The 12,819-nt window shown below is 37.4% G+C and overlaps 1 long non-coding RNA gene across 5 annotated transcripts in view; it reads right to left on the bottom strand.

Moving 5' to 3' along the window:
• Window positions 1-12,819, bottom strand: part of LOC105373438 (uncharacterized) — a 220,483-nt gene that overhangs the window by 3,685 nt on the left and 203,979 nt on the right. The window contains exon 3 of one of the 5 annotated variants that reach the window (NR_188382.1): window positions 9,773-9,869. The exons of the other annotated variants lie outside the window; for them this stretch is intronic. This is a non-coding gene — a long non-coding RNA (uncharacterized LOC105373438). The remainder of the gene's footprint in view (window positions 1-9,772; window positions 9,870-12,819) is intronic. 5 annotated transcript variants of the gene reach the window in all.

Below are 12,819 nucleotides of genomic sequence, written 5' to 3'. Positions count from 1 at the left end.
CAGAGTAGGAGTCTAATGCCAGAGATGAAAATGAGAATGCTAGCTACATAGGAATGTGCATGTACGTTGAGTAGATTACATATGGATAATGAGGTTTGAATATAGCTGATAGTGTTGATGATGATGATTATAATAGTAACTTATATTTAGTAATCACTTACTATGTATCAGGCCTGCATGAAGCCTAACATGGATTATTGTCTTACATTTCCTGAGAAATTCCATTCTATTTTCCCCTGCTTATTAATATGTATTTGGGATTCAGTGGGACTAAGTAACCTGTGCACATTCACATTTTTAGTAACTGATGATGATGGGACCGAATTATCAAATTACTGAACATGTTAAATGTGAATTAAGGTAATCATTATCTTACTTCACATCTTATTGCACTTGATGCTAAAGAATATGAGCGATGCTTCTTTCATGTCTCTGAGATTTTGTAGATATTACTGCTGTCTTGAATATACTTTCTTCCTTTTCTTTTGGGTTTGCAAGTTTCTAAATGTGATTGAACACAGATTTGAGAGAATAAAAGAACAGTTTAAACAAGATTTTTTGACACTTTACCTACAAAATAGTAATTTTTTCTCTATACCTTTATACATCTTTTTTGTGAATACTTCTTTTACTTATTGAAGCTAATCACAAGTGTCACCCTGACTTGTTTACTTGACTGAGCCCAATTTTGAACCATGAGTTCCTACAAGAATAAAGACTGAGTCATAATTTGAAGCACTAATTAGATATTTGTCAAGATAAAATTCAATTAGAGTGAGAAGGTGACCCTCAGATTCTATTCTAGTTTTATTTGTTAATTATGACCATGATAAAGTCTATCAACAAAAAGAGTAATCAACTCTGCTGCTAACTCCTTGCTACAAGTTCTAAGAAGAGATATATTATTTGGTGACTATTAAAGAGCTTTGAAACAGAAAGGAATTTACTTATTTGTAAAATCTCAGACTTTTTATTTTAGGAGATGCTGATGTTATAAACACTTGTATAAGCTATCAGTTGTCAAGACTGCTATAGTTTGTTGTCCAAGGTCATGGTTAAGATATCAAGACAATAAGGTTAAGAGAAGTATTTGCAAGTGTAAAGGAAAAGCATAATAATATTGTCTGGGATAGTCTTTCTTTCCTTCTTTCAGTAAGTAAGTTGGAAAATTTTTGAAGACTCAACTCAGTCAACATTTTTAAGAAGCTTTCACTGAATATCCAAGTGTGACACAACTTGACACTGAGAATCCAGAAAATCTGAGACAGGTCTCAGTTAATTTAGAAAGTTTATTTTGCCAAGGTTGAGGATGAACCTGTGACACAACCTCAGGATGTCCTGACAACATGTGCGCAAGGTGGTCAGGGCACAGCTTGGTTTTATACATTTTAAGGGAAACATGAGACATCAATTAATATGTAAGAAGTACATTGGTGCAGTCTGGAAAGGTGGGAAAACTTGAAGTAAAGTCAGGAAAACTGGAAACAGGAGGGAGCTTCCAGGTGGCAGATAGGTGAGACATTCTTTTGAGTTTCTGATTAGCCTTTCCAATGGAGGCAATCAGATATGCATCCATCTCAGTGAGGAGAGGGTTAACTTTGAATAGAATAGGAGTCAGGATTGCCTTAAGCAGTTTCTAGCTTGAGTTTTCCTTAGGGATTTTGAGGGCCCAAAATATTTTCTTTTCACATTTCCCCCCTTTTCTTTTTAAAAGTCTTTTGGAGAAAGCATTTTACAAAAAAATGAGTCTCTGGTCTCTGATCGCTCATGGCTAGGATGGCTTATTCCTAGATGGGTAGGTCCTGAAAGTTCATTTTTAGCAGGTTGTGAAGACTCACGTCCTGTGAAGAGAAAATAGTGGGGAGGAAGAGAGAAAGAAAAAAAAAAACAAAAACAAAAGAACAATCCTAGAAAAATCAATACAGGCCACATTACTCTGAAGCCTACACATTAGTTGGCAGTGATGAAAGTGGCTTAAATATGTAAATATGTTGCTGTTATTTTATTCTGAAGTTTAAGTTGTCTGGCTTCAGTTCATAAGGTTTAGGAAAGCACATCTTAGTTTTCAGTGATTCCAAATTAGGAAAAAGTGGGGGAAAAAAGAAGGAAAAAAAAATGGGAACATTATTTTGAAAACTTGTAGCCAAGAAAAATTAGAATTCAGTCCAAACTGTAGAAAATAAAAATTGAAGAAAAAAAAACATTAGGCAAGATTAGAATATAACAACAGGTTTACTATCATTTTGAAACAATATTTTTTTTTTACTCTCTCCAGTTTACCATTTTACTAAAGACAAATTATGATAGAATTGGTTTGCTTATTATACTTGGCCTAATTATTTGTGTACAGTGCAACAAGTATAATTATTTTTTTACATAGGCTTTAAAATGAGATTTTATGGAACTTTGTTCCATAGGAGGAATCTCAGATAAGACTTTTTTAAAGCAAATCCAGGCCATGGATTTGTGCCATGAAATACCTATGAGTTGGGTGAATTTCTTCTCCCCTTGAGGTTCCGAGATAAACCTGGGACTTCTGCACCTGTCAGAAAGTGGCATTTTTTACTTACCACAGGTCAGAAAACTTGTGTAGGAATGTGTACACAAAATATGAGGCCAGTTTTATCAAGAGCTTTATTGGCTTCATAAGCCAAGTTTGATTCCTTAAAGGAAAGCACACCATTCCAGTCAAAGCCTTGGTAAAATAAGGCACCCATAGTCAAAAGACACAATTGTCAAGGAAATTTGTTAACTCTGTGGCACGCAATAATTTTAACATAACAATTATCATTATTACTGATAGCGTACACTAAGTTATATCAGAATTACGTGAGTTTCCCAGAATTTTGGAACACATACCAATAATATATTTCTACAAATACGGTCCAAAGAAAACCAAACACAATTCCATATTTGACAGTACTTCCTGTGTAATTTTTATACCAAATTAGCCAAATTATGTTATTTTTGGACATTGGGGAAGCTACTGTCTTAAAGGATTAATTAGGTTAGAAAAGACATAGTTATTTGATTTTGGAAATTTTGTCAACTATAAAAGGTTTAAAACATTTGATGTTACAAAATAGGATTACAGTTCATTGTAAAGTCATTTATTTAACCAGAGTGATAATTCAAGGATTTGAATAAAAAGCAAAAATCTTTGTTCTTTGAGAGAGGAGACTTAATTAATTTTCTAAACAAGAAGCCCTAATAAAAACAGCATGAACCCAGTTACATTTGTTTTTCAGAATTTTGTAAACAATCTATACAATTTCATCTTGATTATAAAATATAACTTCCATAAGCCTTTTATAACCTTTATAGCCTTTATTAAGGAATTGGTTAATGATGCAAGAAAGCTTTGTTAATCTGACACAGGGGTTTATATACTGGTTTTGCATCAGTGTGCCTTTGACACTAATGATTAATTTATAGGGAAACCGAATTTATTTTATCTTTCAAAATTGGGCCTTACAATCTTTTGCATTCACCTCTTCCACAAGATTCCTAGGGCCTTGAAGAGCTGAATAGCTTTAATTTCTTGCCCTGTGTCTCAGGAATGCAGTTTATTTGTCTGGCATCTCTATGGGGCCTGAATATGATGATTTAATTGCTGTAAGTGTTTAAGATTTAGCAGGGCTTTGTATTCATTTTAGACCCAGGAGTTAAAGCCCTCTAACTAAATGTTACAAGGACTTTAAAAGCACATACAGGGAGGTACATGGATGTAATCAGCTTAATTTAAAAAATTATCAGTTTTTTTCCTAAGCAAACCACAACTTAATAATATGACAAATTGATTATATAAAAGTTTTTGTCATATATATGTCATATATATATACATATATATATAAAATCATCTTATTGAGACTTACACTGACCATTCATGACATGCCAAGACTTTCTGGTTTGTCCTGAACATCTGTCCTTTTTATTTTTTATTTATTTTGTATTTATTTATTTTAATTATTATTATGCTTTAAGTTTTAAGGTACATGTGCACAATGTGCAGGTTAGTTACATATGTAGACATGTGCCATGCTGGTGTGCTGCACCCATTAACTCGTCATTTAGCATTAGGTATATCTCCTAATGCTATCCCTCCCCCCTCCCCCACACCACAACAGTCCCCAGAGTGTGATGTTCCCCTTCCTGTGTCCATGTGTTCTCATTGTTCCGTTCCCATCTATGAGTGAGAACATGCGGTGTTTGGTTTTTTGTCCTTGAGATAGTTTACTGAGAATGATGATTTCCAATTTCATCCATGTGCCTACAAAGGACATGAACTCATCATTTTTTATGGCTGCATAGTATTCCATGGTGTATATGTGCCACATTTTCTTAATCCAGTCTATCGTTGTTGGACATTTGGGTTGGTTCCAAGTCTTTGCTATTGTGAATAGTGCCGCAATAAACATACGTGTGCATGTGTCTTTATAGCAGCATGATTTCTAGTCCTTTGGGTATATACCCAGTAATGGGATGGCTGGGTCAAATGGTATTTCCAGTTCTAGATCCCTGAGGAATCGCCACACTGACTTCCACAATGGTTGAACTAGTTTACAGTCCCACCAACAGTGTAAAAGTGTTCCTATTTCTCCACATCCTCTCCAGCACCTGTTGTTTCCTGACTTTTTAATGATTGCCATTCTAACTGGTGTGAGATGGTATCTCATTGTGGTTTTGATTTGCATTTCTCTGATGGCCAGTGATGATGAGCATTTTTTCATGTGTCTTTTGGCTGCATAAATGTCTTGTTTTGAGAAGTGTCTGTTCATATCCTTTGCCCACTTTTTGATGGGGTTGTTTGTTTTCTTCTTGTAAATTTGTAGCATGATGCCTCCAGCTTTGTTCTTTTTGCTTAGGATGGTCTTGGCTATGTGGGCTCTTTTTTGGTTCCATATGAAATTTAAAGTAGTTGTTTTTCTAATTCTGTGAAGAAAGTCAACAGCAGCTTCATGGGGATAGCATTAAATCTATAAATTCCTTTGGGAACTATGGCCATTTTCACAACATTGATTCTTCCTCTCCATGAGCATGGAATGTTTTTGCATTAGTGTGTGTCCTCTCTTATTTTTTGAGCAGGGTTTTGTAGTTCTCCTTGAAGAGGTCCTTCACATCTGTTATAAGTTGTATCCTAGGTATTGTATTCTCTTTGTAGTAATTGTGAATGGGAGTTCACTCATGATTTTGCTCTCTGTTTGTCTATTATTGGTGTATAGGAATGCCTGTGATTTTTGGACATTGATTTTGTATCCTGAGACTTTGCTGAAGTTGCTTATCAGCTTAAGGAGATTTTGGGCTGAGACAATTGAGATTTCTAAATATACAATCATTTCATATGCAAACAGAGATAATTTGACTTCCTGTCTTCCTATTTTAATACCTTTATTTTTTTCTTTTGCTGATTGTCCTCACCAGAACTTCCAATAGTATGTTGAATCAAAGTGGTAACATAGGGCATCCTTGTCTTATGCCAGTTTTCAAAGGGCATGCTTCCAGTTTTGGCTTATTCAGTATGATATTGGATGTGTGTTTTTCATAAGTAGCTCTTATTATTTTGAGACATGTTCCCTCAATACATAGTTTACTAAGAGTTTTTAGCATAAAGGGGTGTTGAATTTTATCGAAGGCATTTTCTGCATCTATTGAGATAATCACATGACTTTTGTCATTGGTTCTGTTTATGTGATGGATTGTGTTTACTGATTTGCATATGTTGAACCATCCTTGCATCCTAGGGATGAAGCCGACTTGATCATGGTGGATAAGCTTTTTGATGTGCTGCTGGATTCGGTTTGCCAGTATTTTATTGAGAATTTTCATACTGATGTTCACCAGGCATATTGGCCTGAAATTTTCTTTTTTTGTTGTGTCTCTGCCAGGTTTGGTATCAGGATGATGCTGTCCTCATAAAATAAGTTAGGGAGGAGTCCCTCTTTTTCTATTGTTTGGAATAGTTTCAGAAGGAATGGTACCAACTCCTCTTTGTATATCTGGCAGAATTTGGCTGTGAATCCATCCAGTCCTGGACTTTGGTTGGTAGGCTATTAATTACTGCCTCAATTATACATCTTGTTATTAGTCTATTCAGGGATTTGACTTCTTTCTGGTTTAATCTTGGGAGGGTGTATGTGTCCAGGAATTTATCCATTTCTTCTACATTTTCTAGTTTATTTGCATAGAGGGTTTTATAGTATTGTCTCATGGTAGTTTGTATTTCTGTGGGATCAGTGGTGATATTCCCTTTATCAATCATTTTTATTGCATCTATTTGATTCTTCTCTCTTTTCTTCTTTATTAGTCTGGCTAGAGGTCTATCCATTTTGTTGATCTTTAAAAAAAACCAGCTCCTCACTTCATTGATTTTTTGAAGGGGTTTTTATGTCTCTATTTCCTTCAGTTCTGCTCTGATCTTAGTTAGTTCTTGTCTTCTGCTATCTTTTGAATTTGTTTGCTCTTGCTTCTCTAGTTCTTTTAATTGTGATGTTAAGGTGTCGATTTTAGACCTTTCCTGTTTTGTCTTGTTGGCACTTAGTACTATAACTTTCCCTCTAAACACTGCTTTAGCTGTGTCCCAGAGATTCTGATATGTGGTGTCTTTGTTCTCATTGGTTTTAAAGAACTTATTTATTTCTTCCTTCATTTTGTTAATCCCCCAGTAGTCATTCAGGAGCAGGTTGTTCTGTTTCCATGTAGTTGTGCAGTTTTGCATGAGTTTCTTAATCCTCAGTTCTAATTTGATCACAGTGTGGTCTGAGAGACTGTTTGTTATTATTTCAGTTCTTTTGCAGTTGCTGAGGAGTGCTTTACTTCCTTAGAATAAGTGTGATGTGGTGCTGAGAAGAATGTGTATTTTGTTGACTTGGGGTGAAGAGTTCTGTAGACGTCTATAGGTCTGCTTGATCCACAGCTGAGTTCAAGAACTGAATATCCTTGTTGATTTTCTGTTTCATTGTTCTGTCTAGTATTGACAGTGCAGTGTTAAAGTCTCCCACTGTTATTGTGTAGGAGTCTAAGTCTCTTTGTAGGTCTCCAAGAACTTGCTTTATGAATCTGGGTGCTCCTGTATTGGGTACATATATATTTAGGTTAGTTAGCTTTTCTTGTTGCATTGATCACTTTATTATTATGTAATGCTCTTCTTTGTCTCTTTTGATCTTTGTTGGTTTAAAGTCTGTCTTATCAGAGACTGGGATTGCAACTCCTGCTTTTTTTTTTTTTTCTTTCTATTTACTTGGGAAATTTATTCCTCCATCCCTTTATTTTGAGCCTATGTGTGTCTTTGCATGTGAGATGGGTCTCCTGAATACAGCACACTGATGGGTTTTGACTCTTTATCCAATTTGCCAGTCTTTGTCTTTTAACTGGGGCATTTAGCCCATTTACACTTAATGTTAATATTATTATCTTGGAATTTGATCCTGTCATTATGTTGTTATCTGGTTATCTTGCCTGTTAGTTGATGTAGTTTCTTCATAGTGTTGATGGTCTTTACAATTTGGTATGTTTTTGCAGTGGCTGTTACTGGATGTCCCTTTCCATATTTAGTGCTTCCTTAAGGAGCTCTTGTAAGGCAGGCCTGCTGGTGACAAAATCTCTCAGCATTTGCTTGTCTGTAAAGGATTTTATTTCTCCTTCATTTATGAAGCTTAGTTTGGCTGGATATGAAATTCTGGGTTGAAAATTCTTTTCTTTAAGAATGTTGCATATTGGTCCCCACTCTCTTCTGGCTTGTAGGGTTTCTTCAGAGAGATCCGCCATCTGATGGGCTTCTCTTTGTGGGTAACCTGTCCTTTCTCTCTGGCTGCCCTTAACACTTTTTGCTTTATTTCAACCTTGGTGAATCTGATGATTATGTGTCTTGGGGTTGGTCTTCTTGGGGAGTATCTTTGTACTGTTCTCTGTATTTCCTGAATTTGAATGTTGGTCTGTCTTGCTAGGTTGGGGAAGTTCTCCTGGATGACATCCTGAAGAGTGTTTTCCAAATTGGTTCCATTCTCCCCCTCACTTTCAGTACACCAATCAAAATTAGGTTTGGTCTTTTCACATAGTCCCATATTTCTTGGAGGCTTTATTTGTCCTTTTTCGTTCTTTTTTCTCTAAATCTTGTCTTCACATTTTATTTCATTAAGTTGATCTTCAATCTCTGACATCCTTTCTTCCACTTGATTGATTCAGCTATTGATACTTGTGTATGCTTTACGAAGTCCTTGTGCTGTGTTTTTTCAGTTCTATCAGGTCATTTACGTTCTTCTCTAAACTGGTTATTCTAGTTAGCAATTCCTCTAACCGTTTTTCAAGGTTCTTAGCTTTCTTGCATTGGGTTAAAACATGCTCCTTTAGTTCAGAGCAGTTTATTATTACCCACCTTCTGAAGCCTATTTCTGTCAATTCATCAAACTCGTTCTCTGTTCAGTTTTGTTCCCTTGCTGGAAAGCAGTTGTGATCCTTTGGAGGAGAAGAGGCCTTCTGCTTTTGGATTTTTCAGCCTTTCTGCTCTGTTTTCTCCCCGTCTTCATGGATTTATCTACCTTTGAACTTTGATGTTGGCGACCTTCAGATGGGGTTTCTGCATGGACGTCTTTTTTGTTGATGTTGATGCTCTTCCTTTCTGTTTGTTAGTTTTTCTTCTAAGAGTCAGGCCCCTCTGCTGCAGGTCTGTTGGAGTTTGCTGGAGGTCCACTCCAGACCCTGTTTGCCTGGGTATTACCAGCAGAGGCTGCAGAACAGCAAATGTTGCTGCCTGTTCTTTTCTCTGGAAGCTTCATCCCAGAGGGGCACCCGCCAGATGCCAGCTGGCACTCTCCTGTATGAGGTGTCTTCCCCTTCCCCATCAGGCAGCACAGGGGTCAGGGACCCACTTGAGGAGGCAGTCTGTCCCTTAGCAGAGCTGCAGCACTGTGCTGGGAGAACTGCTGCTCTCTTCAGAGTTGACAGCCAGGAACTTTTAAGTCTGCTGAAGCTGTGCCCACAGCAGCCCCTTTCCCCAGGTGCACTATCCCAGGGAAATGGAGGTTTTATCCATAAGCCCCTGACTGGAGCTGCTGTCTTTTCTTCAGAGATGCCCTGCCCAGAGAGGAGGAATCTAGAGAGGTAGTCTGGCTGCAATGGCTTTGCTGAGCTGCAGAGGGCCCCGCCCAGTTGGAACTTTCCTAAGGCTTTGTTTACACTGTGAGGGGAAAACCGCCTGCTCAGGCCTCGGTAATGGTGGACACCCCTCCCCCATCAAGCTCTAGTGTCCCAGGTCAACTTTAAACTGCTGTGCTCATAGCAAGAATTTCAAGCCAGTGGATCTCAGCTTTCTGGGCTCTGTGGGGGTGGGATCTGCTGAGCTAGATCACTTGGCTCCCTGGCTACAGACTTCTTTCCAGGGAAGTGAACGGTTCTGTCTTGCTGGTGTTCTAGGTGCCACTGGTGTATGGAAAAAAAATTTCTGCAGCTAGTTAGGTGTCTGCCCAAACAGCCACCTAGTTTTGTGCTTGAAACCCAGGGCCTTGGTGAAGTAGGCACACAAGGGAATCTCCTGGTCTGTGGGTTGTGAAGACCATGGGAAAAGCATAGTATCCGGGCCAGAGTGCACCATTCTTCTCCGCATAGACAATCACAGCTTCCGTTGGCTAGGGGAGGGAGTACCCCGAACGCCTGCCTTTCCCAGGTGAGGCAACGCCCCACCCTGCTTCATCTTGCCCTTCGTGGGCTGCTCCCACTGTCTAACCAGTCCCAATTAGACGAGCTGGGTACCTCAGTTGGAAATGCAGAAATCACCCACCTTCTGCATTCATCTCCCTGGGAGCTGCAGACAGAAGCTGTTCCTATTCAGCCACCTTGGTAAGTCCCAACAATCTTTTTTTAGCAAGAATGTTTTCCTATAATATATATTAAATGGAGAATACACAGATGATGAAATATCTATTATTTAATTTAATAGAACTTTATATTCTAAATTATGACCCATTTGTTTATAAGTATTTACCCCATTACATTTACCTAATTATTTTATTTTAATCTTTTACCTAGGTTATTTATGAAAACTGTGATAGCTATGATTTAATGTTATAAAACCAGCACTGCAAAATGATAACAGAGACAGTGAAAAAAGATTTGACCTAACTGATTTCATCTTGCTCTTAACCTACAACCTGTCCTTGGTCATTCCTGGGCATAGGGAGAACTAACTTTGAGAGAAACTTACTTTATAGTTTAGCTTTGAAACAAAGACAATAACAGTTCTTTCCCAAAACAAGGCTCCTTGTTGTCTGTGGACTAGAATGCCTAAAGCCACAGGATTAGAAGTTATGATAATCTTATTACATTCAAGATGCAGCTATTTTCATTAAACCCATATCAATGCCTTATTTATTAAAAATTAAACAAGAAAAGATCATTCTCTTTGGGACTGGGTTTATAGTTTTGTAACCCCTACGTCAAATTTTGACACCCTATAGTATTTGACATTGATAAGTACGAAATTGCTTAATTAATAAATGCAAACAAAAATGTAGGCTGGCAATTCTTAAGACATTTCTAATATTATTTTACCAAAAATTTTAAAGCTAGCTTACTTTTTAAAGATTTTACTTAACTTACATAAACTTGAAAAAGCATTTGACTAGTCTTTTCTTTGTTAGTACCTGATATGAGTGCTTTTATTTTTTAAGCCAATTAATTAGAGCTCTTTTATATATTTTTTGTAGTGAATCATTGTGTACACAAGACATAAATATATAAAAAGCTGTATTAGGCATGCCAATAGAAGTACATTGTATAGATTTATAAAGATCCCCCCTGCCACTTTTTTTCCCTATCTTAGACTTTCAGCTTCTTGATAACCTGTTTTATAAACCTTGGCAATTCTCAGCTAAATAGCCTTAAATTTTCACATTAAAGGAAACAACTAAGATGAAAATCAAACAGCAAAATTTATATCATAAGGTACAGAGAGAAAAAGTTTCATGGTGCTAGAAAGAGATGCTTTAATTTTTAGGGGGCCAAAACATAAAATTAAACTATACTCTTCCTTAAAAACCCAAGAGTAGCCTCTGTTTCAATAACTATTTTAGTCAAAAAATCAGGTGAAAACAGAATTCAGTCAACTGAGAAGAAGAAGAAAAAAACTATTGCTCAAAAAAAGACACGGTATTAGGAAAGAAAAACAAACAAAAAAACAAAAACACGAAGGCCTTTCAAATACAAACATACACACATGCATACACACACATCTTGCATGTTAGACTTTTAATTAAGCTAACTCTTAACCACTGAGCACCACATTTAAGCTAAGACAAAATGCTGCTATTTCAGAAGTACGGCCATTGCTCTTTCAGTTTGGTCTTGCTGGCAAAAATGTCGCCTTGTTATGTAAATAAAGCCCCTTTGGTAGTTAATATTAAAAATCAATTGTTTTCCTTTTGTTGGCCATTTTCCTCCCACTTCAGAGGCCTTGTTTCCCATAATTTAGGGTTCCCCTTCAGATTTGATCAGGGCAGAAATAAACAACAAAACAGTTAAGCAAAACTAACAACGATCACACAAATTATACAATTTCTGAGCATTCTAAATGTAATCAGAAATTAACACCAGCTGGTTGTTAAATGCTAACTTCAGTCATTTGGAAATAATTTGCAAGACAGTATGCCACACCAGTTTGTTACCTAGTGATGGGTCTCATGCTGTAGACTGCTCTCTACCATCCTAGAAGCAGGGAAAAAAAAAATCTCATCTTTCCTGTTGGAAGCAAGCTCAAACTCCATAAAGGAATTTCCTGCCGTCCGTCCTCATGGAAACAGGAAAACTTGCCTTCCTTGTTGAGGCAATTAAAACTCCAAAAAAACCAAAAAACCAGTTGTACAGCAAAATAAAATTTAGATCTCGACCAAATTTGGGGAGATAAAGGATCTCTGGAGGGGATGCTCTCAGCCCTTAGCAATTTGTACTATTGGTTTGAGCCATAAAGTTAGCTCATGCTGGTAACAAGCACTGATAGAAGATTTGTCAAAGGTCAGGGGCATTTCCATTCAGAATCCCTCCATGGTTACCAAATTTTGAACTCAACAACTCTGAGACAGGTCTCAGTCAATTTAGAAAGTTTATTTTGCCAAGGTTGAGGACGTACCCGTGACACAGCCCCAGGAAGTCCTGACGACATGTGCCAAAGGTGGTCAGGGCACAGCTTGGTTTTATACATTTTAAGGGAGACATGAGACATGTATCAATATGTGTAAGAATACATTGGTTCTGCCTGGAAAGGCGGGACAACTTGAAGCAAAGGCAGGAAGACTTGAAGCGGAAGGGAGCTTCCAGGTCACGGATAGGTGAGACACAAAAGGTTGCATTGCATTCTTTTGGGTTTCTGATTAGCCTTTCGAAAGGAGGGAATCAGATATGCATCCATCTCAGTGAGCAGAGGGATAACTTTGAATAGAATGGAATGCAGTTTTGCCTTAAGCAGTTTCCAGCTTGAGTTTTCCTTAGTGGTGTTGGGGGCCCAAAATATTTTCTTTCACAACATAACATTTCTGTTTATTTTTGATCACTGTATTGGTCCATTTTCACACTGCTGATAAAGACATGCCTGGAATGGGGCAATTTAAAAAACAAAGATGTTTATGGACTTAGAGTTCCATATGGATACGGAGGCCTAACAATCACGGTGGAAGATGAAAGGCACCTCTTACATGGTGGCAGAAAGAGAGACAATGAAAGCCAAGCAAAACGAGTTTCCCCGTATGAAACCATCAGATCTCATGAGAGTTATTCACTACCATGAGAACAGTATGGGGGAAACCTCAGCCATGATTCAGTTATCTCCCACCAGGT

Source organism: Homo sapiens, chromosome 2 (genome assembly GCF_000001405.40).
Source record: "Homo sapiens chromosome 2, GRCh38.p14 Primary Assembly".
NCBI classification, from domain to species: Eukaryota; Metazoa; Chordata; class Mammalia; order Primates; family Hominidae; genus Homo; species Homo sapiens.
This window is presented reverse-complemented; position numbering and strand designations above follow the sequence as displayed.